The sequence below is a fragment of the Homo sapiens genome, chromosome 10 (genome assembly GCF_000001405.40).
Source record: "Homo sapiens chromosome 10, GRCh38.p14 Primary Assembly".
Lineage (NCBI taxonomy): Eukaryota > Metazoa > Chordata > Mammalia > Primates > Hominidae > Homo > Homo sapiens.
The window spans coordinates 35674450-35698931 of record NC_000010.11 but is presented as its reverse complement, the minus strand read 5'-3'; the positions used below and the strand labels follow the sequence as shown (position 1 = coordinate 35698931).

The following is a 24482-nucleotide window of genomic DNA, read 5'->3' as shown; positions in this document are numbered from 1 at the left end:
AAGGTAGGAGGCAGTGGTGGCACATGCCTGTAATCCCAGCTACTCAGGAGGCTGAGGCAGGAGAATCGCTTGAACCCACAAGGTGGAGGTTTCAGTGACCCGAGATCGCGCCACTGCACTCCAGCCTGGGCAACAGAGCAAAACTCTTGTCAAAAAAAAAAAGCAGCTTCTCTGATTCAAATGTAAGTCAACTAGTATTTCTAACCTCTTAGACATAATTGCTTAGACCAAAAGGACCATTCACTAGCATCCACAGATATCCAGAACAGAACAGACATCTGTCCTTCATTTCAAATGCACATGAAAGGTAAGTAGATTCTCCTAGTTTCTTTACCCTCTGTGCCTAATTTCCCCATTCATCCACCATGTTCTTTTAGTCAAAGTCTGAATACAAGTGAAAAAGCAAAATAACGTGCAAAATAAGGATGGTCCAGTCAGTTCCACATACTTTCAGAAACCCTTGATTTAAAGATGTTTCAGGGCCAGGCACAGTAATCCCAGCACTTTGGGAGGCCAAGGCAGGCAGATCACCTGAGGTCAGGAGTTCAAGACCAACCTGGACAACATGGTGAAACCCCATCTCTACTAAAAATACAAAGATTAATTGGGCCTGGTGGTGCTTGCTTGTAATCCCAGCTACTCAGGAGGCTGAGGCAAAAGAAGCATTTGAATCCGGGAGGCGGAGGTTGCAGTGAGCGGAGACTGCACCACTGCACTCCAGCCTGGGTGACAGAGCCAGACTCCATTTCAAAAAGAAAAAAAAAAAAGTTTCAGAATTCCAAAGGGCAGGACTGACTTAACTGACCAAATTTCCTAGTATCTTTTTTTTCAGTTGGAGAGCCCATACTGTTTATTAACTGGCCAGATTAGAAAAATAATCATGGTAGACACCTTAGTTCGTTCTTCTGATAAGACTGTTAATCTGGTCCTCGCTGTTGCCAGCATCTCCACCTTCTACAAAACGGGTGGTCTTTTTCTACTTTCTACCTCGTGGAGAAGATAATTTGAAGGGCACGGGAAGTCACTTGCTTCTTTGAAGCACTTTCCAACAGTATAGATCTCATGAATCAGATCCTCCATGCAGATGATGCCATATTTATTAAGAGACACAGCAATCAAAGTGTTATCTGTCAAAGTAATTCCCTTCTTATTGATTTTGCCATAACCACGCTTGTAGATTACTTCATTTACTGACTTCAGATTTGGGTACTCCCATGCAATATGTGGTTCTACAATCCTCAGCATGTTAATTGAAGCCTTGTTGAGCTTCACAAAGGTTCCATTGAAGATTTGATGAGAGCAAAGAAGCTGCAACACCTTTCAGACCTTTGGGCTCACACCATTGATATCTCTGATCCTGATGACAAACGCCAATTTGGGTTCTGCAGGTACATAGATGTTGCCAGCTTTTCTTGCCAGCCTCGCCATTCGAATTTCAGTTCTGTACATCTGCCTACATTCCTTGTGATAGTGGTTTGCTTTTTGATAGATAAGTTTCCTCCTTGCCTTTCGAAGCATCTTTTGGGCAGACTTCTTTCTCAGGCGCTTGATCTTCAGCTCTGCGAAATTCCTTCCCTTTTTCTTAAGGTTTCTGGCACAGCAGGAACCTTCTTTTTCTTCTCTTCAACACCCTCCATGGTTCTAGCCAGAAAAGAGGACCCTAGTATCTTAATGCTCATGAAATACAGTATTCTGCTTCTACTGGGCACATGCAAGGGATTCCTGCTGTACTTGTGCAAAAATCCTAGCTAGAAAACAGCCTCTTGGCTGCCCCCAGCAATTCACAGCAGCCAGAAACTATCCTCTCCCCCTAGATGGCTACAAACACTCACTATCTTGTCATGCCTTGGCACATGACATGAAACTGACAAGGGTGGCTAAATAAAGAAGAAGAAAAAAGTCAAAATCTGAAGCTAGGTCACAAGGAAATGGTAAGTGAAAAGTCAAACTGAAAGCATTCCTAAGCCATGATTTTGCCTAAGACCATGAAAATCCTGAATACTGGTATATTATTATATGTATTCAAAATACTTGTTTTTCCTATTGCTTATACACTCATGCACGCATGTGCACATACACACACACACACACACACAGACACAACTAGCCAAGCATACTTTCTTTTCTGGAACAGCCAGTGGAAGCCCAGCTTGTGATTATTCCAAGGATAAAAGAAGAGAACTTTGCGGATTCAGTTACTCTAACTGAACACGAAACAAAGCATAACAATGCAAAGTAATTTTTAGCCTAATACAATCTCCATATTTATTTTATGAATTTACTCAATGCCACATTCCCAGTTAACAAGGATTACAAAGAAGAATGTGAGCAGACAGGAAATGCAAATTGCAGCTGTGTTAGAAAGCAAGTCACTCCCGTGTCATTCCCATTTCTTAAGTTAAAGACCCAGTTAGAAGCTAATATCAGTTTGTCTACAATACAAGGTAGACCTTAGGATAATCTCTCCACTCGTTAAAGTGTTGGCTTATACAACTTTTTCTCTTTTAGATCAATCTTCCTCCTCCTGACCAATTGCTGAAGAACATAAACTCTGTTTCCACCTATTTTCACCAAAACTGCATCTGATCACTTCAACTAGATTAATGAGCATCCTGGGGCTAGATGTGACATCTAAGTAAGAACTCATCGATGTTAACCAAGCCTAACTGCAAAACTCATCGAGTGATTTCACATAAGAGGATGTTTAAGAGTCAGAAAATTAGCTAAAATTTATCCTAGTTAAAGTCGGTGGTCAATTAACCAAAGCAGGAAATTTCTGCAAAATACTTGTTTCGCCTCCCAAAAGTAAAAGCTCCTACACAGAGATTCAAGGAAAATAAACGTCATTTAATTCCTACCCGTAGTCACTCACAAACGACTGGCCCTAAACCTTTCTGCATGATCGTTCATCCAAAAAGACAATGTCCAGAGGCAGGGTGCGGTGGTTCACGCCTATAATCCCAACACTTTGTGAGGCCGAGGTGGGTGGATCACATGAGGCTAGGAGTTCGAGACCAGCCTGGCCGAGGTAGCGAAACCCTGTCTCTACTAAAAATACAAAAATTAGCTGGCATGGTGGCGCATGTCTCTAATCCCAGCTAGTCGGGACGCTGAGGCACGAGAATCACTTGAACTCTGGAGGCAGCAGTTGCAATGAGCCGAGATTGTGCCACTGCACTCCAGCCTGGGTGACAAAACAAGACTCTGTCTCAAAAAAAAAAAAAAAAAAAAAAAAGGCAGAGTCCAAAGGTATTTTGCTAGGTGCCAGAAATACAAGGATAATTGGATATGACCTCTTACATCAAAAAGTCTACTATCTGATAGCCGGGCGCGGTGGCTCATGCCTGTAATTCCAACACTTTGGGAGGCTGAGGCAGGCGGATCACGAGGTCAGGAGATCGAGACCATCCTAGCTAACATGGTGAAACCCAATCTCTACTAAAAATACAAAAAATTAGCTGGGCATGGTGGCGGGCACCTGTAGTCCCAGCTACTCGGGAGGCTGAGGCAGGAGAATGGCATGAACCTGGGAGGCAGAGCTTGCAGTCAGCTGAGATTGCGCCACTGCACTCCAGCCTGGGCAACAGAGTGAGACTCCGTCTCAAAAACAAAAACAAACAAAAAAAATCTATCTGAGAAAAAAAACAAATAAATAGAACTAATTTTTGGACAATGTGTTATAAACTGGTATGAACAAAAGGTTACATAAGCACTGCAGAAAAAAACATTTAGAAGCTCAGAGAATCCCCTAGTCAAAATGACTTACAGTAGGAACCCAGTGACTATCTGCTGGATGAATGAATGAATGGATTTCGCAGGTGAGAAAGCGAGTCTCAGAGGGGCAAAGCAATTTTCCCAGAGTCACACAGCTCGACAGCAACAAAGAAGGACAGGAACCTGTATCCTCTAATTTGTAACCACTTTTCCACCTCACTACTCTCCAGAGGCGTGCCCTGCGAAATCCTGCAGCCACAGAGAGAATGGCCGTTTAATCTCTCACACAGAACCCCTGCCTCCTGGAAGCACAAAGATGCCTGACTTTGGATGAGTGTTCAAATCCTTGCTCAAGAGCTTCCAACATCTGGAAAAGCAAAAGACAAAGACCCAGAGCCAAAGACAGAACCCAAAAACGAATAAAGTCCTCTAAAAAGGACAATGTTTATAAAATTGGCTTTGAAATAAATGTTAAACATAACTGATACCAAATGGAATTAGCAGTAGCTTTAAAATATGACACAGTTCCTGGCCTTGAGAAATTTAACTGTACAGGCAAGAAATACACATGCAAGGTAAATGCCAATAGTAGGCAATGCAGGCTGATTCCTGACCAAGTGATCAGAATGAGGCAAGACAGCGTTCAGATAAGCATTTTACCGCAGCTTCCAGTGATCAGGGAAGTGTCTGCGAGGAAGGGAAACTAGGACAGAGCTTTAGGGAATGGATAGATTTAGATGAGAGAAGGAAGAAGGCCAGGGGCTTTGTGGAGTCAGAATGTGCAAAATCGGTATGAAAACAGCATGTCTAGCCAGAACATATTTATACATAGGAACCACTAGGATCAAACAATGGTGAATTCTGCACATTAAGTGAAGGAGTTTGGGCTTTGGATGTCAAGCCAGGGGTCCACCGGATATTTTTAAGCCAGTGAATTACATGATACAAAGTAGTTAATTGATGCATATACTTACGGTGTGCAGAATGAACAAGAAAAGCAATAGGGAAACCAGTTTCCTAACAACAGAAAAATTACTGAGGAGGCTTGGAAGCTTGAGTAGCCCGGTGACAATAGGATGAAAAACAACAAAGAGATATCCTTCGGAAAATAATACTGGATATGACTTAGAAACTGGTTGAAATCAGAGGCAACCATGATAATCCAGAGATTTGCAGGCTCCGTGGCTGATATTTTATTATTTTATTTTATTTATTTTATTTTATTTTATTTTATTATTTTATTTTATTTTATTTTATTTTATTTTATTTTTGAGACAGAGTCCCAGTCTGTCACTCAGGCTGGAGTGCAGTGGTGCGATCTCCGCTCACTGCATCCTCTGCCTCCTGGGATCAAACAATTCTTCTACTTCAGCTTCTCCAGTAGCTGGGCCTACAGGCGAGTGTCACCATGCCTGACTAATTTTTGTATTTTTAGTAGAGATGGGGTTTCACCATGTTGCCCAGGCTGGTCTCGAACTCCTGGCCTCAAGTAATTCACCTGTCTCAGCCTCCCAAGGTGCTGGGATTACAGGCATGAGCCACTGCACCCACCCCGTGTCTGACAAAATGTTGGTTTCATGAACAGAAAGCAGAAATTGGAGGCAGAAAATCCATTTTGTTTTAGAGAAATCTGTAGATGTTTGAGAGAAAAAGGAAAGGATCTTTTCTTCTTTGTCTACTAGATGAAAGTAGACAACAAGGAGCTGGAAATATGAGACGGATATGGCCGCCAAGTGATGATGCCAAACAACCCCTGTGCCCAAAAAGGGAACTACTGAGGGCCCCAGAACTGGAGGACAGTTCCCCTAAGAGGAAGGGGTAAAGGCACAAGGACAGAAACTGAGAAGAACTTTAAAGGGATGAGAGAAGAGCCAGGAAAAAAATGGAGTCACAGAAACCCAGGAGCAGACAATTTGCTGGAGGAAAAGTACCTGCCCAAGAGTGGTGCCCCAAAGACGCCAAGGGCGAGACCCGACATCACACCTCAAGAATAAGGCCAGCCTTGCTCTGCTCCACTCCTCTCAGGAAGCCAGGTTAGTGTGTGGAAATCTGGTACCCACCAGCAGCCTGAATTCGATTTCAGTTCTGTTCATATAATCATTTATTGTGCACACACAGGGATGCAGTTCTGATAAACGATCCTCTCTTTTTTTGAGTCAGGGTCTCACTCTGTCACCCAGGCTGTAGTGTAGTGGCACAATCATGGCTCACTGCAGCCTTAACCTCCCAGGCTCAAGAGATCCTCCCACTTCAGCCTCCCAAGTAGCTAGAACCACAGGCACGCACCACCATGCGTGGCTAAGTGTTTTATTTTTTATAGAGATGGGTTCTTGTCATATTGCCTATGCTGGTCTGAAACTCCTGGGCTCAAGTGATCCTCCCACCTCAGCATCCCAAAGTGCTGGGATTACAGGCGTCTGAGCCACTGCACCAGACCTAGGGAATCCTCTTTAAAGTATATCATAGTATTCTCAGCTTCTCCAACCATCCTAAGAATTACTAGAATATTCATGTTCATTAAAATTATTTTCCTATATTGTAAGCTGTAGGAGTTTAAAAAATAGGTTTCAGAGTCAGGGAGAAAGAAGCCTACTGTGTGTATAAATTTTACGTGCTGCTTAAAACTGTCTAAAGGACTGTAAAAGGGATACCACTGTGTTTCTTCTGAGCAGCCTAATTGCAAGCCTGCAAACACAAACAGGCTTCCAAGTCAGACCCACCTTATAAGGCCAAGACAACAGAAATAAACTCAATATGCATCAGTAGAACTTAAGAAAATTTTCCCTCTCACTTCTAGTTCAATATTTTTATCTATTCCTTTCCAAAGAAGGTAAAGGAAAAAAAAAGTTCCCAGAGTTTAAAATGTCGGCATTTGATTGATTAGAGTAGCTTTCCTGGCTTAACCAGTAAGTTGATTTGAACGGTTCATCCGTTAATACAGTAAAACACATGTTAAAGATTACAAATTGTTTAACAAGTTTTGACAAACAAGTCCCCTGGTGGTCTTGAAATTTCTGAGAAGCGGATGGAAGGGGTACAATTTTATAGATTCCCCTTCCTATCTGCACAAAGCCGCTGAGTTCTAAAGTAGGTATTAGTGCATATAAGGGACATTGTCAGACAATAAAGAGACACAATTGCCTCTGTTAGCACAACAATTAATTTTGTTTGCAGAGTACCAGTCAGTCCATTTGTTACCAGGAATGTGCTAATTATTCTTGCTAATTACGTGCAAAACATTCATTATCACCTATAAGTGGAGCCGGACCCCTCAGGTTTCAGTGACAAATTAATTACTGTGTTTTCCTTCTGAATGTATTTCCAGTCCGTTCTTCGTATTATCTGAAAAATAAATTGTTTAGCAGCCTGCTCGTCCTTCAGAGCCACTCATTAAAATGAAAAGTAGGCCTGCAGAGATAGATCAGTTTTCCTTCCCTGTTCTATTAGGGCAGCGGTTCCTGGAAGGCTTCAACTCCAATCATGGGCTTACAAATCCTAAAGCCCCATGAAACTCGTGCAGCTGAGTTTCATTAGGGACTGGGTACCTATGTGCAGCAGTAGCTACTCACTGAATCTCGGGGAAGAGGCAAACTGTGTCAATACCCAAGGAGGGAAGAACCGACACCCGATACACACACCTGCACCCTTCAGCCTTGCCTTGCAAAAGGTTTGGGTGACATTTTGTCATCTGGTTCAAATTTGGGGTATTTGAGTTTTATCTCTCCCCTCTACCCCCAATTTGGAATCTAGTCAATAAAAGGGAAAAAAAAAAGTCTGAATTGCCAACTTACTACTATGGCCTTTCCAGCTTGGGAAGAAACCCTACGGTGTAGATGCATGTATGTTTATTCTAAATGTGGACTGCAGCGGAAAGACTGGGATCTGGACATAGATCATTTTGCCTTGACTCCAGATTGCCTGGAGTTATTCTCTACTGTCTGCCTGTTCCTAACCGGAAAGAAATTAGTCTTCCTCTTCCTCTGTCTCCTCATCTTACCTTTGCTCTCCATTGTGGCAACCAACTAAAAGCCTTATGGAAAGAAAAGATGGATCGGCAGGGCTTTAGCCCCATTCTAACACGCATCCTCAATCAGTCATTCAGGGTTGGTCTTTACTCACTCCTCTTCACACCATTTAGTCTCACTTCCTGGAAGGTCTAAATAGAAAGCCTTTCAGGTGAAAAGTTTGCACCTGAAAGAAAGATGGGAGAAGAAGGCGGTGGAACCACGATTTCCAGTTCCCCAGAAACCCATCTAGCTGTGTGCATGGCTCCCCGGAAAGCCAGTGTCTCCTTTAACTCATAGTGGGTCCAGATTGGATTAGAGCCTGCACCATGCACAGAAGAACCCAGCTCCATTTCCATCCATCAGGCTCATTAACCTTCTACGCACCCAGCTGTAGTGGCTCATCTTGCAAAGAACAGGTTCACATGGTCCCGTGTGTCTGTATCCTTTGTTCTTTCCAACAGTTCTACCTTGTTGGTTCCTTCCTGTTTGTTTTGGCTCTTGTCAGGGTGCATGTGCCTTTTGTCTGTCAACATTTGGTCAATTTCTACAGTAGCTACATAATACAAATGCAAACAGTAGTTCTTGATCGTAAATGAAATAGGAAAGACGTTTCCAGTGTCATATAATTTACGCTTCTCACCATTTTCAATTCAAAAGAGTATTTGGAAACAGGAAATACAGGAAGCGAAATAACCCCTTGCTTAAGGTGCACATAAATTTCACACTGGCTGAATAACCCATTGTAGTGGATTTTTACCAGAATTTGGGTTTACAGGCTTATGGCTTTCGTGTTTTACATATGAAGGAAGATTGAATTTTTGGTTTTGATATCACATGTATTCCTTTCCTTAATTTCCTGAGGTTTATCATCATCTTGGCTGAAATGTGTAAGTTTAAACCGCTGAAACAAAACCTGTGTGTCCTAAAACCCTGGAACCAGAAAGCTCCTGCAACGGTCAAATCGTGGGCATAAATTCTGCCTGATTTCTACTATGATGAAAGAGAGAAAACTGCTACAACCAGGGCTCAGGGCTGAACTTCACCTCTGTGGCAGGCCACATCTGTCTCAGCCTCCTTTCTTCACAACCCTGCCCCTCTCTCATGTCCTGTGTCCCATCGGCTACCACCACATCCACCCTGTTCCTGCCTCCCCCAACTTCACCCCTCCCATCCCTTATTTTTGCTCGTTGAACACTGTTTGACTGTTTACTATACACCAGGCACTGTTAAATATTTTATATGTGTTACAAATACCATGTCTTGTCTCATATTATTTCAAAGTTTTGCTAATATTATCAAATCATTCAGTCTACAGTTTTCATGTGTTATTTCAGCCAGTCTCCTGCCACTTGTAGGTCGTCAAGGCATTTCTAGAGATCATTTTATTAACCCAAAGGAATGGGTTTCTAATGGTGGAAATGGCTGAGAGCACGGCAGCCTGATGATGGAATTATTTTGGAAGCAGCAGGGGGCCCTTGGCAGTCCATACCAAATCATACGAAGCATGTGACCACTTGGCCAACTGAAGCGTAAGTCCCTCCCATGCTTTCTATTCTTTGAGATGTTCAGGGATAAAGACCTGCCTCAGGAACACTTTGAAGGAATTCTACTCTCTCAGGTCCTTCAACCAAAGTCTAACGAACCTTCAATTCCTTAAGATTGCAGTTTTGTTTTTTTGTTTTGTTTTTTTGTTTGTTTGTGTTGTTTTGTTTTCTTTTTTGAGATGGAGTCTTGCTCTGTTGCCCAGGCTGGAGTGCAATGGCGTGACCTCTGCTCACTGCAACCTCCACCTCCCGGGTTCAAATGATTCTCCCGCCTCAGCCTCCCGAGTAGCTGGGATTACAGGCACCCACCATCATGCCTGACTAATTTTGCTTTTGTTTTTGTTTTCTTTTTGAAATAGAGTCTTGCTCTTGTTGCCCAGGCTCTAGTATAGTGGCACAATCTCGGCTTACTGCAACCTCTGCCTCCAGGGTTCAAGAAATTCTCCTGCCTCAGCTTCCCCAGTAGCTGGGATTACAGGCGCCCCCCACCACACCTGGCTAATTTTTGTATTTTTGGTAGAGGCGGGGTTTCATCATGTTGGCCAGGCTGGTCTCTAACTCCTGACCTCAGGTGATCCACCCACCTCTGCCTCACAAAGTGCTGGGATTACAGGCATGAGCCATGGCGCCCAGCCTAATTTTTGTATTTTTGTAGAGACAGGGTTTCACCATCTTGGCCAGGCTGGTCGTGAACTCCCAACCTCAGGTGATCCGCCCGTCTCGGCCTGCCAAAGTGCTGGGATTACAGGCGTGAGCCACTGCACCTGGCCAAGATTGTAGTTCTTTTAAAATAGTAGGTAACCCCTGCATTATCCTGAGGATAATTATCCGGCATGGAACCTGGAATGTCAGGCTGAAGAATGTCCGAGATCCTGGACCAGCCCTTTGGCAGGGACGGTGCAGAGCATGCACCTTTGAGCTAGGGCCAGGCTCTACCACTTACTAACTCCGTGACAAGTCTTGGCTTCTACGTGCATTAAATATGAGAATGTCACACAGGATGGTGAGGGTTAAAGGAGAAAAATTACCTAACTTTTAACCACCCTCTTGGCCAAGTAACTCCAGATATAATTAAATAACATCCTCATATTATGGGCAATACATATTGTTGCCTCACCCAACTCCTTGGAATTAAAGTAATTTGAATAATCTAAAAACAAACTTTCTCTTATTCAGCTTACCCTTTCAAAACAAAAAGATCCCTTGCACAAGTAATTAAACAAAAGGCAGTTTTACCAGAGTGGTGGCTCACAACTGTAATCCTAGTGCTCTTGGAGGCTGAGGCAGAAGGATTTCTTGAGGCCAGGGGTTTGAGACCAGCCTGGGTAACATAGTGAGATCTTGTGCTGACCAAAAAAATTAAAAAAAAATTAGCCAGGCATGGTGGCGTGCATCTGTAGTCCCAGCTTCTTGGAAGGCTCAGGCAGGAGGATTGCTTGACCCCAGGAGGTTGAGGGTGCAGTGAGCCAAAATTGCACCACTGCACTCCAGCCTGAGTGACAAAGAGAGACCCTGTCCCAAAATAAATAAATAAATAAATATAAAAATAAAAATTGGGAGAGTTTGCATAAAATCTACATTTCCAACTTATTATTATTTTTTTTAAATCAGAAGCTCTAACCATATCAGGTTACATTCCCGTATGGCGATAATTGGCTGGAGGGAGTGCAGGCTGCTGTCTTTAGCAGAGGCCTGTCCTTTGGAGGGCTCCACCCCCCACCCCCTCACCAACCCCGGCTTCCCATCTCCTCAACGCTATACCCCCCACCCCCGCCCCGCCACCACTTTCTGTGATTTTCTCTCGGGCTCACCCAACTCCTACGTTATCTGCCTAGCCTATGTTGGCCTGAGAGTTTCTGACCCTGTGCCGTGAATAAGTCATGAATGTATTGTTAATTTACTGATTCTTCTGTATTCTCTGAAGATTACATTTATGCTGGAGAAAATCTTGGCAGGAAAGAAAAGAAGGAAAGACTTTTGCCCAGTGCAATCTGATGAGAAGACAGAATTTCTAAAATGGGAAGGGTGGTTAAAGGTAAAGTCTTAGGGAAAGGGGTTGGGTCACAAAAGACAGAGAAACCAACAGGATGGATTGGACCTTGAGGGCTGAGCAGTATCGGAAATTCCAGCCAGGTCGGGGTATGGATGGGCCTCCTAAGTGGCCGATATATATGTGAATAACTTTTCCTTGGGAGTATGAGGCTGAAGGGAAGCAGAACCATTCCTGATGAGAAAAGTAACATGTTTGTGGTTTCTTCATTTTTTTCTTCTCTCTTCAAGGCAGAGTCTTGTTCTGGCAGGCGAGAGTGCAGTGGCACCATCATGGCTCACTGCCACCTCAACCTCCCTGGCTCAAGTGATCCTCCTACCTCAGCCTCCTGAGTAGCTGAAACTACAGGCACACACCACCTCTCCCAACGAATTTTTTTTTTTTTTTGGAAGAGACAGGGTCTCACTATGTTCCTCAGGCTGGTCTTGAACTCCTGGCCTCAAGCAATCCTTCCCTCCTTGGCCTCCCAAAGCACTGGAATTACAGGCATAAGCCACCATACCCAGCCACCGTGTTTATGGTTTCTGAGATGTATTCCAGAGCAGATTACTTTATAAAGCAATGTGCAACCATAAAACCCAACTGTATCACTTTACAGAAGTACAGAAGATTTTGAAGTCCGTTTGTTGCTGAGATTTATGATACACAACATGAAACCCTAGACCAGTAGAGACCACTCACAGATGAAAGCAGGCAGACAGCATGCTGCCCGAAAGACCAAGGTAATTACAAGCTCCTGAAACATGAAGGAGTGTTATTCACTAGGAAACAAGGGAGCTATTTAGCAATCAGGCAAATCAAAACAAGGAGAAAAAAACTGATTACAGAGAAAATCCTTTTACAACAAATTTAATGCTGGTAGTAACCTCTAATGATTCCATAGCCCGCATCAGCAGCAGCAAACTGGAACCATGGTTTACCATGGATAGTTTGTGACATAAATCCTATGTTTAAATAATACTCGGAACAGTTTCACTGTTGGCTGAAAAGAGTCGCAAAAGAGCACAGTTAAAAGGAGACTTGAAGATTACTTTGACTAAAAATCCTTATTTTACAGATGAGGAAACTGAGGTGCAAAGGTTAATTCCTTTGTCTCTCCAAAGCTAGTTGGTGCAGAATTAAACCGCCTTCCCTATCCCCACCAGTCTCCCAATTTCTGAAACAATGCATGGCATGTCATTGAAGGAAATGAGAAACTTCATGATGTTTTGAATTAAAAATTAACACTTCTTGGCTGGGTGCAGTGGCTCATACCTATAATCCCAGCACTTTGGGAGGCCGAGGCAGGCAGATCACCTAAGGTCAGGAGTTTGAGAACAGCCTGGCCAACATGGCGAATCCCTGTTTCTATTAAAAATACAAAAATTAGCCAGGTGTGATGGTGCACGCCTGTAATCCCAGCTACTCAGGAGGCTGAGGCAGAAGGATTGCTTGAACCCGGGAGGGGTAGGTTGCAATGAGCCAAGATTGCGCCATTGCACTCCAGCCTGGACAACAGAGTGAGGCTCCATTTCAAAAATAAATAAATAAATAAATAAATAAATAAATAAATAAATAAATAAAACACTTCTTTACAGAAGAAAATCAAAATAAGCAAAAAAAGAGGTTGAGTGGGTTTACTGTTCCTAATTAATTGATAAGAAGGGTATATCATTTGTAACTCTCATCGTCCACTAGGCTATTCTTATCTCCAAGTAAAAAATGTTTCAAATATTTAAAAAATGAAGCTAATTATTCAAAACAGCTGAAGCTCTAACATAATGCCTAAGAGAATTCATTTTTTGAACATTTCTTTGTTTCCAATGTGAATCCCAAGAAGATAAGACCGCAGACAGGTTTGGAGAAAGAAAAAACCCTACCTTTGTTTTCAGACCTGCACTTGACTCAGGAAATAAGTTAATAATTAAACTGGTTTCACTTTTGAAAAGCAAATGTAATCATTCCTTCTTCATTCCAAATGTATGCTTTACTTAGGAGTAGCGATGTCATGCTATTTGAAGAACTGTTTGCTCAAGCTCAGAATTACCCCAGGGCAATGTATTATTGATAAATCCATTTTCTTGTATAATCATCGCTTCACATTTACAACATTTCACAGGATTCTATCTGTAAACTTCACATGGTTTTTCTAGGCAAGGGCAGTACAGTCCATGTTACCCAGAAAAAGGGACCTTATTCCTTGGGGTTAACTTCTGTATTCAAATTTCCAAAGTAATGTGACAAGATTTTCTCACAGAAAACACACAATTGAGGTTACTTGTAGCTATAAGGCCTGCAACATTTTAAAACTCATATGCTTATCTGCATACATTTACATGTATTTAAAGCACCTCCATTCAAAAGCATAAAGGTCCACTTTCTAGAGATGGATACGGAGGGGATGATTGAGAACACAAAAGCTTATTTCAACGTTATTGGTCTCCACATTCATTTATTTTCTGATGACAGAGGGGTCAGCTCAGGACTTCCATGTTTAATACACTCCAGTAAAGCAGTATTGTGCTTTTCTTCTTCTTTATTTTTATTGTGGAGGTCGGTTCGTTTGTTTTTGGCTTGTTTTTGCTTTTTTGTTATGTGTGTATTGGGGGTTTATTTGCACAATGGAGGGAAGAAGCCGAGGCCAGCTAACGCAAGGAGAGAAAAAGGCTTGGGGTACTCTCGCGGAATACTCAGGAATCTCTCAAGTGTTTGAATAAACACATACCACACCAATTAAAAAAAAAAGCCGGTTTAGCAAAAAGACAAACATAGTCTTCTGAGCCTGTCCAACAGTCAGGCATGTTCGAATACATTCCTGGAGCCCGGAACAGCCCTCACACTTCCTTTTAGCCTAATGGGCCCTGAGCCCCATCTTTTGTCTGCTGATTAACTGCTCTGTTCATTGACCAAACCACTAATTGCATGTTCCTTATAGTTACCCTACATTACTGTAAGAATTAATGAGACACAATTACAGCTTCCAGAAATCTCAGGCCTGGCCAACTGCATGGTACTCCAAGTGAATTAGAACTCTTGAAGAGAAAAGAGGGGGGAAAGCTAGGCAATTGCTCACAGGAAGCAGAATTTTTTTTTGTTTAAAAATTTTTGTATTTATTTGAAGTTGTTTCATAATTAGGCCCAGGGGGAAGGTAAGGGGAAAGAGACAGGGAATGAACAAAGGACTGGGAACGCAGCTTTCACGGAGAAATCATGGTGGATGCAAAGAAACATGTATACTACAGAGTACCCAAAACTTAGGAAACAGGATGAACACGAAATCAATGCTATGAATAGGACATAAAGCCAATAACAAATTGGCAGTTTGAATACAGCATGTGTTACACATGGAAACACACTAGAAGAGTAATCTTTTAGTCTCATCCTCACACACAGATGCTATTTTGCCCAACTGAAGCAAAATGCCTATTTCTGATATTCCTCAACTCATGGAATTTGATGTTCCTTAGAACCCATGTCTCATTTGCCAAGGTTTGTATTAGAATTACAAAAGAATGAAGAGGGGGCATCTCTTTGTATAGCAAGGGGAAAAGGTGTAATTTTCCCTCTGCCAAATCGCTTCAAATGGAAAAAAAAAATGATTTTGAGTGTGGAAATAATTCCAGGGCACCTTACATTGCAATTATTCTAAAACTTTGTGTTGGGTTTACTGGCCTTGGTTTCCTTTGTAGATAGCGACTTGTTCTTGTGCCATTTCTGTTAAGATTACTTTATCAACAGCCTGATCAAAAAGTATTACTTTAACCCATTTTTTCCCAAATATAAAGGTATATTTTAAAATATTTACATACACAAATATGCAAGGATAGAGGATAGATACAGGGGCGGTAGATAGGGTTGGCAGGAAGAGAGAGAAAGAGATGACCAGTAAGTGATGGCCAGATAGAAAGATACAAAAACAGAAAGAGGGAAAAAGGTGGTAGATAGAGAGATGATAGTGGGAAAGGGAGATTGAAAGAGAGACCAGGAGAGAGAGAGTGGGAGAAAAAGAGGATAACTAGCTAGACAGGCAGATAAATAGAAGCTAGGATCCAGTTCCCAGTCCAACAGACTGAATCTTTAAACTTCAACTGTACTTTGGATATTAATTTGGCACTGAGGGAGCAGTGAAAAGAATGTCATCTCTTCAAGTTCAAGTTGGAAGACATCATATAAATGAAACATTTTCAGGGGTGTGAGAGGGTAAGCAGGACCATGAAAAGCCTATGGGGCCCTTATCAGGGCAGATAAGCACCCCCCCATGGAGGTGATAGGAAATTTGTCGAGGCTTAAGCAACTTCTCAGGGCCATGGAAAAGCATATATATATATATATATATATATATATATATATATATATATACACACACACACACACACATATACATATGTGCGTGTATATATACACACATATATATACATATATACACACATATATATACACACATACACACATGTTCAGTTTCTTAACATTTTTCAGAAGGCAGAAGAGAAAGTCTTTGTGTTTCAATCAGAAATCTTGCTATAAAGACATAGATTCAACCCAGGTGCCCATCAACAGTGTATTGGATAAAGAAAATGTGGTACCTATACACCATGGAATACTATGCAGCCATAAAAAAGAATGAGATTGTGTCCTTTGCAGCAACATGGATGCAGCCAGAAACCATTATCCTAAGCAAATCAGTGCAGGAACAGAAAACCAAATACCACAGGTTCTCACTTCTAAGTGGGAGCTAGAAGTTGGGTACACATGGTCATAAAAGTGGGAACAATGGACAATGGGGGATACAAGAGTGAGGCGGGTGGGAGTGGGATAAGGGTTGAAAAAAACTACCTGTTGGGTTCTATGATCACTACCTGGGTGAAGGTTTCATTCGTACACCAAACCTCGGCATCTACGTGTATCCTCTGATTCTAATATAGAAGTTGAAAAAAAAGAACGAGAAAAAAGTACTTACTATAAAGTCTGTGGGCTTCATGAGATTTCTGAAGAAAAGAGAAAGAGTATACTGAAAGGAAGAAGATATTTACGCAAACACAGAACCTATTTTTCATTCAACTGATATATTCTTTGATGAAAAAGAAGTTTGCTAAAACCTCTTTCTCTATCTTTATCACAATATATAATTTTTAGTGTTATTTTATTTATGCAAAATGATAATGTCATTTTATGAACAAATGTACATTGCCTTTGCACTCATTTCAAAATACAACCTACATGATCAAAAATATATATATTGCTATAGGAAGTGAAAGGAGAGTGAAAATGAATGATGCCCTGGTGCTCCTCAAACCAACAATTGCCAGGGCTCATGGAGGAACGGCCTCTCCACACAGCTTGTCCATTCCATCCAGGCTGTGTCACCTGCCATATCTCCTTCCTCCCTGGTGGAATCCTCTCACCCGCTCCTGCCTCTCAAATCTTATCCATGCTGTAAGGCCAGTGCCTTTACACATCAACCTCCAAACCCCATCCTCCCATCTAAGGAAATTTTTCTCTCTTCTGACATCCTAAGGCTTATATTGCTTGTACCAACTTGTACCAAACATTTGTCACTTAATCATATGTAGTCTCAACTTCTCTGTGAATAAATGCCTGGGCCTCTGTCTAGACTGCAAATTCCTCAAGGGAAGATGAGATAACTTCTTTCCCTCCCTCCACAAATGCCCTCCACCTCAGGGCTCTCAGCAGGGCCTTATGTACCTAGTGGGAGCTTAATATATATCCTAGGAATAAGTGGATCCAAGAACAAATTACTTAATATAGAGAAAGGCCATCTGAGTGAAAATGTGGGGAAGAAGTGGGAATAATTTGTCATGCCCTGTGGTTTGTGAAGAGACATGGAGAGGTTGAAGATAGGAGACAGGACCCAATGTCTTCTTTGGGTCTCCCTTATGGGATGGGAGAGTCTTTTGAAAGACTGTAAGGGGAGAGAAGGAGAGAGGGCTCTTTCTGGAGCTCTAGAAGTACAAGAACCATTACAAGGAAGAAATCACCCAATGTATGGGTTCGCTGGACAATCAGAACAGAGGAGAGGTGAGATGTAAGAACTAAGGTAGAGATTTAGAGCAAACGATTTGAGTATTGATATGGAAGTGCAGAAAATGGCCAATGCAAGCATCTAAGGAGAATGTTCATCTTAGTTTCTAAGTTAGGAATAGACCAGCAGGCAATGAAGAGAAGACAATGAAGGAAAGTGAGACTGAAGCAGGTAGGTTCCCTCTGCCTGAAATGCACAGAGCCTGGAGGAAGACGGTACCGTGATTATAGAGAAGCAGACACTGTTGCTGGTGAACTTGAAACAGGGCACAGAAGGGAAGATAGAACAAGCTCGCGTAGTTCTTTTCGGCAGGGGAAGACAGACCCCCACATGCACGGGACTTTTACCAGATTCAATTAGTTTTCAAACAACTGCAGATGTCATCAATGCCAGAACAAAGTTCAAGAACTAAAGTATAGTCCAGCTAAGAGGACAGCCTGCCTCAATGTTGTCTCAAAACTCTAATATGTAAATAATTATTCAATCTGGTCAGGAAGTAGTCATCTCAAATCTGAAATCTAAAGGAGTTTCAAGGAAGAAAGGGAAAGACAAACTCTATATAGTTGTTCCTCCATGGGGGACAACTCCATGCCGCATCCATGGGGGAATAGTTCCAGGACTCCCACAGACACCAAAACCCACAGGTATCCAAGTCCCTGATATAAATTGGCCTCGTGTTTGCATATAAGCTACGCACATCCTCTTGTATACATCATCTCTAGGTTACTTACAATACCTAACACAACGTAAGTGCTAGGTAAGTAGTTGTTATGCTGTACTGCTCAGGAAATCATGACAAGAGAAAAGGCTGTAAATATTTGGTACAGACACAAATTTTTTTTGACTGTTGTCTAGCCTCAATGGGTTAAATCCAGAGACACAGAACCTGTGAATGCAAAGGGCCACCTGTGCACTCCTTCCTGTCGGCCACATTGGAAAGTGCAGCAATTAGAGACGAATAGATGCAGAGAGGAGACAATTATTTTTAAGAGAGAAGTGACAAAACTACTTAAAGCCAAACATCTAGGTTTGTTTTTTGGTAGTGTATAGATTGTCAAAATAAATTTTCACTTCTCATCCAGATGTTTAGCATATTGTCAACACCATCAGAATTATCGATGTTATACCTTTGTGGATGTCATGTTGGGTGTTGGTAAATTATGATGATTTAGTTATGATTTACAGCTAGGCTCACTACCTACAGGCATTTACAAAATATTGTCAACCAAAACCCAGAACGAAACTAAATACATCATTTTATCTGGTTAATTTTTGTTTGTTTGTTTCATTTAATATTTTTTATTATTAATATTATACTTTAAGTTTTAGGGTACATGTGCATAATATGCAGGTTTGTTACATATGTATACATGTGCCATGTTGGTGTACTGCACCCATTAACTCGTCATTTAGCATTAGGTATATCTCCTAATGCTATCCCTCCCCACTCCCCCCACCCCACAATAGTCCCCAGAGTGTGATGTTCCCCTTCCTGTGTCCATGTGTTCTCGTTGTTCAATTCCCACCTATGAGTGAGAATATGCGGTGTTTGGTTTTTTGTCCTTGCAATAGTTTGCTGAGAATGATGATTTCCAGTTTCATCCATGTCCCTACAAAGGACATGAACTCATCATTTTTTATGACTGCATAGTATTCCATGGTGTATATTTGCCACATTTCCTTAATCCAGTCTATCGTTGTTGGACATTTGGGTTGGTTCCAAGTCTTTGCTATTGTGAATAGTGCCGCAATAAACATACGTGTGCATGTGTCTTTATAGCAGCATGATTTATAGTCCTTTGGGTACATACCCAGTAATGGGATGGCTGGGTCAAATGGTATTTCTAGTTCTAGATCCCTGAGGAATCGCCACACTGACTTCCACAATGGTTGAACTAGTTTACAGTCCCACCAACAGTGTAAAAGTGTTCCTATTTCTCCACATCCTCTCTAGCACCTGCTGTTTCCTGACTTTTTTTTTTTTTTTTTTTTGAGATGGAGTCTCGCTCTGTTGCCCAGGCCGGACTGCGGACTGCAGTGGCGCAATCTCGGCTCACTGCAAGCTCCGCCTCCCGGGTTCACGCCATTCTCCTGCCTCAGCCTCCCGAGTAGCTGGGACTACAGGCGCCCGCCACCGCGCCCGGCTAATTTTTTGTATTTTTAGTAGAGACGGGGTTTCACCCTGTTAGCCAGGATGGTCTCGATCTCCTGACCTCATGATCCACCCGCCTCGGCCTCCCAAAGTGCTGGGATTACAGGCGTGAGCCACCGCGCCCGGCCGTTTCCTGACTTTTTAATGATTGCCATTCTAACTGGTGTGAGATGGTATCTCATTGTGGTTTTGATTTGCATTTCTCTGATGGCCAGTGATGATGAGCATTTTTTCATGTGTTTTTTGGCTGCATAAATGTCTTCTTTTGAGAAGTGTCTGTTCATATCCTTCACCCACTTTTTGATGGAGTTGTTTGTTTTTTTCTTGTAAATTTGTTTGAGTTCATTGTAGATTCTGGATATTAGCCCTTTGTCAGATGAGTAGGTTGCGAAAATTTTCTCCCATCTCTCACCACTCTTATTCAATATAGTGTTGGAAGTTCTGGCCAGGGCAATTAGGCAGGAGAAGGAAATAAAGGGTATTCAATTAGGAAAAGAGGAAGTAAAATTGTCCCTGTTTGCAGATGACATGATTGTATATGTAGAAAACCCCATTGTCTCAGCCCAAAATCTCCTTAAGCTGATAAGCAACTTCAGCAAAGTCTCAGGATACAAAATCAATGTACAAAAATCACAAGCATTCTTATACACCAATAACAGACAAACAGAGAGCCAAATCATGAGTGAACTCCCATTCATAATTGCTTCAAAGAGAATAAAATACCTAGGAATCCAACTTACAAGGGATGTGAAGGACCTCTTCAAGGAGAACTACAAACCACTGCTCAATGAAATAAAAGAGGATACAAACAAATGGAAGAACATTCCATGCTAATGGGTTGGAAGAATCAATATTGTGAAAATGGCCATACTGCCCAAGGTAATTTATAGATTCAATGCCATCCCCATCAAGCTACCAATGACTTTCTTCACAGAATTGGAAAAAACTACTTTAAAGTTCATACGGAACCAAAAAAGAGCCCGCATCGCCAAGTCAATCCTAAGCCAAAAGAACAAAGCTGGAGGCATCATGCTACCTGACTTCAAACTATACTACCAGTCTACAGTAAACAAAACAGCATGGTACTGGTACCAAAACAGAGATATAGATCAATGGAACAGAACAGAGCCCTCAGAAATAATGCCGCATATCTACAACTATCTGATCTTTGACAAACCTGACAAAAACAAGCAATGGGGAAAGGATTCCCTATTTAATAAATGGTGCTGGGAAAACTGGCTAGCCATATGTAGAAAGCTGAAACTGGATCCCTTCCTTACACCTTATACAAAAATCAATTCAAGATGGATTAAAGACTTAAACATTAGACCTAAAACCATAAAAACCCTAGAAGAAAACCTAGGCAATACCATTCAGGACATAGGCATGGGCAAGGACTTCATGTCTAAAACACCAAAAGCAATGGCAACAAAAGCCAAAATTGACAAATGGGATCTAATTAAACTAAAGAGCTTCTGCACAGCAAAATAAACTACCATCAGAGTGAACAGGCAACCTACAAAATGGGAGAAAATTATCTAGTTAATTTTAAAGGTCAATTAACTTATTTAAACTTTTATTAAGGAAAAAATGGGTTAACTATAAAATTATGTTTAAACTATCAAGACAGTAAAGGACTTTAACTAGAAATTGCATTCATTTAAATATTGTGTTTTAATGAAAACAAGCATCTCAAAAAATCCTTAACCTCATTAATGTTATATTATGTATATATATTGTTATAATTCTAATATATAAAGCTTAAAAATAAGATTTTTTTAACTCATCGAATTGGTTCACAAAGATAGACAATAACTAGAGTTGGCCCACAAATAGGTAAGGAGAAGTTTAAATTGGTTCAAGCCTTTCAGAGAGTAATTTCTCACTAGTTATTACAATTGAAAACATGCATATTCTTTAAATCAGCTATTCTGCTTACAAAATTTTTCCTAAGGAAACATTCTCTGAGTGCACAAATATATTCTTTTCAGCATTGTTTCTAACAGTGAAAAAAATTAGAAACAACACATATTAAACCGTAAGCAATTGGTAACATAATCTATGGTAAATTGGTAAAATAAACAATGAAATAATAGGCAGTATATTTTAAATGAGCTTATTATCTATATAGACTAACCCAAAAAAGTACAAGCCATCATAAGTTAAAAAGTTAGAGCCAGAATAATATTCATGATGTACTAATATGCATCAGTAATAATTATAACTATTACAGCATACATGAGAAAATCTGGAAGAATATACATAAGTTAAAGATAGCTGTCATGAAGGAATGGCAGAAGTCAGAAAAGGATACATGAACCTATTAATTTCTATGCTACACATTTCTGTGTCCTTTTGAATTTTTTTAATAACAAGCATATATATATATATAAAGAGTATGGTTTAACGGTTTTTTTTTTTTTTGAGACAGAGTCTTGCTCTGTCACCCAGGCTGAAGTGCAATGGCATGATCTTGGCTCACTGCAACCGCCTCCTCCCAGGTTCAAGCAATTCTCCTGCCTCAGCCTCCCAAGTAGCTGGGATTACAGGTGTGTGCCACCATGCCCAGCTAATTTTTGTATTTTTAGTAGAGGCAGGGTTTCACCATGTTGGTCAGGCTGGTCTTGAACTCCTGACCTCAGGTGATCCGCCCTCCTTGGCCTCCCAAAGTGCTGGGATTACAGGCATGAGCCACTGCGCCCAGCCACTTTAACTCTTTAATTCCTTCCCAGCCAACATCAGCCATTCTACTGCTTGAGAATATACAAATTTTTTTGTTCCTGAGCAACAAAGCAAATACCATTACAGACATACCCACATGAACCAGTCAGGTACCTGCTCAAACTCTCCAGGTTTTAATCAGTTAATTTTCACATCTATCATTAGCTAATTCCATCATATTTCATGTTCAAAAAATGTTCAGGAAAAGACTTATAACCATACCCAAAGAAGATGGAAATAATTTCAGAATTTCTAAATTAACATTAATTACTCTTAAAGTAGTAAGATTCTTTGTAGGTAACATACTCATCAGATTTTAAAGTATTTCAGCAGCACATGTGTTTTTATATTTTCAAAAGTCTATAGTGAGCCCATTTTATATTTGAAATAAATTTCAAAGGTCATGTAAATATCAATACATGGACATGTCACTCACCAAAGCTCTTTCAGCTACAAATATATAAAATCAGGATGCTTATGTCATATATAAGCAAATCTATACTTAGTTTAATGCCCCACAATGGAATCAAATGTCAGTTTTAAGGGCTGTTGTCACATGGTTTTGAAAGAATCACTTGGCTTTCTCCCCACCTCAGCACAATGTGTATTTTCATGCAGGGTTATATTTTGTACATTTGTTCTTATATAAGGCTATGTTCACAATGTGAGTTGGCTGCTTTTTAAAATAAACTCTGCAAGAATGAAATCATAGGGGAGTCTTCCCACTTCTGGTCTGGCAATGGAAGAAGCTGAGAAGTCTCCACTCTGCTCTAACAACAAGGAAAAAGCTGAGGAAACTGAAAATCAACCTTTCTTAGGTTCTCGGCAAAGGGAAGTCATAGGGCAAAATATAGCCCCCAGAACTGGAGGGTCAGAAAGGCAGATAAAGAGAATTCCATCACCAGCGGAGAAACCCATGAGCACAAACTTCCATGGGAACAAGTGTGAGGGTAGGAAAACCTCAACTGTGATTGATGAATTGCTGAAGACTCAATTTGGACAAGACTGAAAAATAAAAACTCCAGGGAGGCTGGATGCGCTGTTTCACGCCTGTAATCCCAGCACCTTGGGAGGCCAAGGAGGGTGGATCACTTGAGGCCAGGAGTTCAAGACCAGCCTAGCAACATAGTAAGACCTCATCTCAGCTAAAATTTTTTTTAAATAATTAGCTGGGCATGATACTGTGCACCTGTAGTCTCAGCTACTCAGGAGGCTGAGGCAGGAGGATTGCTTGAGCACAGGAGATTGAGGCGGCTGCAATAAGCCATGATTGCACCCCTGTAGTCCAGCCTTAAGACCTTGTCTCTTAAAAAAACACAAAAACAAAACAAAAACTCTAGGGGGACCCAATTGTATGGAGAATCTCCTATGAGTTTTACCTCCAGAACCTCTACCACATCCTCACAGTAAATACCAGGAAAAAAAAATCTTCTGTTTCCAGCAAGGAGAGGGGAACAGGAATAATTTCAAAATATGCCAGAGCTTTCTGTTATCCTGGAAAAGGCTTGCTCTGCCCTCAGGAGAAACTATTTTACCAACACCTAACTTGCTAGAGTATTATCAGAGCCAAACCTAACTTGGAAAAAAGAAACACCCAACTCCAGCAGCCTCTTGCCATCCTGTCCCTGCTAAGGGAGCTGTTGAAAACCACTGGTGAAGATTACAGCATAGTGGTACAGGTTGACCAAAACTGAAACCTGTAGAACTATAGAAGACTTCCCCTTGACCCACACCTTACCATCACATTACTTATCTGTTTACCATAGTCCCTTTTAGCCAGTAAATAATGTCTGCCTTTCAACAAAAATTTACAAGGCATACAAAAAGACAAGATACATAGTTTGAAGAGATTTTAAAAACCATCTCTACCTGAGTCAGATAGGGACAATGGAATTATCAGAGCAGGAAATTTGTTAAACTCTAATATAATAAAGGCTTCCAAAAACAGACAACATGCAAGAGTAGATGGGTAATGGGAGCAGAGAGATAGAAATTCTAAGAATCAAAAAGAAGTGCTAGAGATCAAAAACACTACAACAGAAATGAAGAATGCCTTTGATGGGCTGTAGATTAAACACAGATGAGAAAAGAATCTCTCAGCATGAGGATATGATACTAGAAACATCCAAAACAGAAAAACACAGAGGAAAAAAAGTTGGGGGAAAAAACCCAGGACACTGTATCCAAAAACTCTGGAATAACTACAAAAGGTATAACATACACACACAAGGGCATCCCAGAAGGAGAAAAAACAGAGATAGAACTGGAAACAATA

The 24482-nt window shown here is 41.1% G+C and overlaps 1 pseudogene, besides 1 other annotated feature; it reads right to left on the bottom strand.

Annotated features, from left to right (window-relative positions):
- Positions 823–1657, bottom strand: RPL7P37 (ribosomal protein L7 pseudogene 37; annotated as a pseudogene).
- Positions 11928–14968: an enhancer, noted in NCBI's record as "VISTA enhancer hs1567". NCBI's record gives its function as "enhancer in: hindbrain (rhombencephalon)[6/8] | limb[8/8] | branchial arch[3/8] | genital tubercle[4/8]" and the evidence as "EXISTENCE:transgenic organism evidence [ECO:0001131][PMID:17130149]".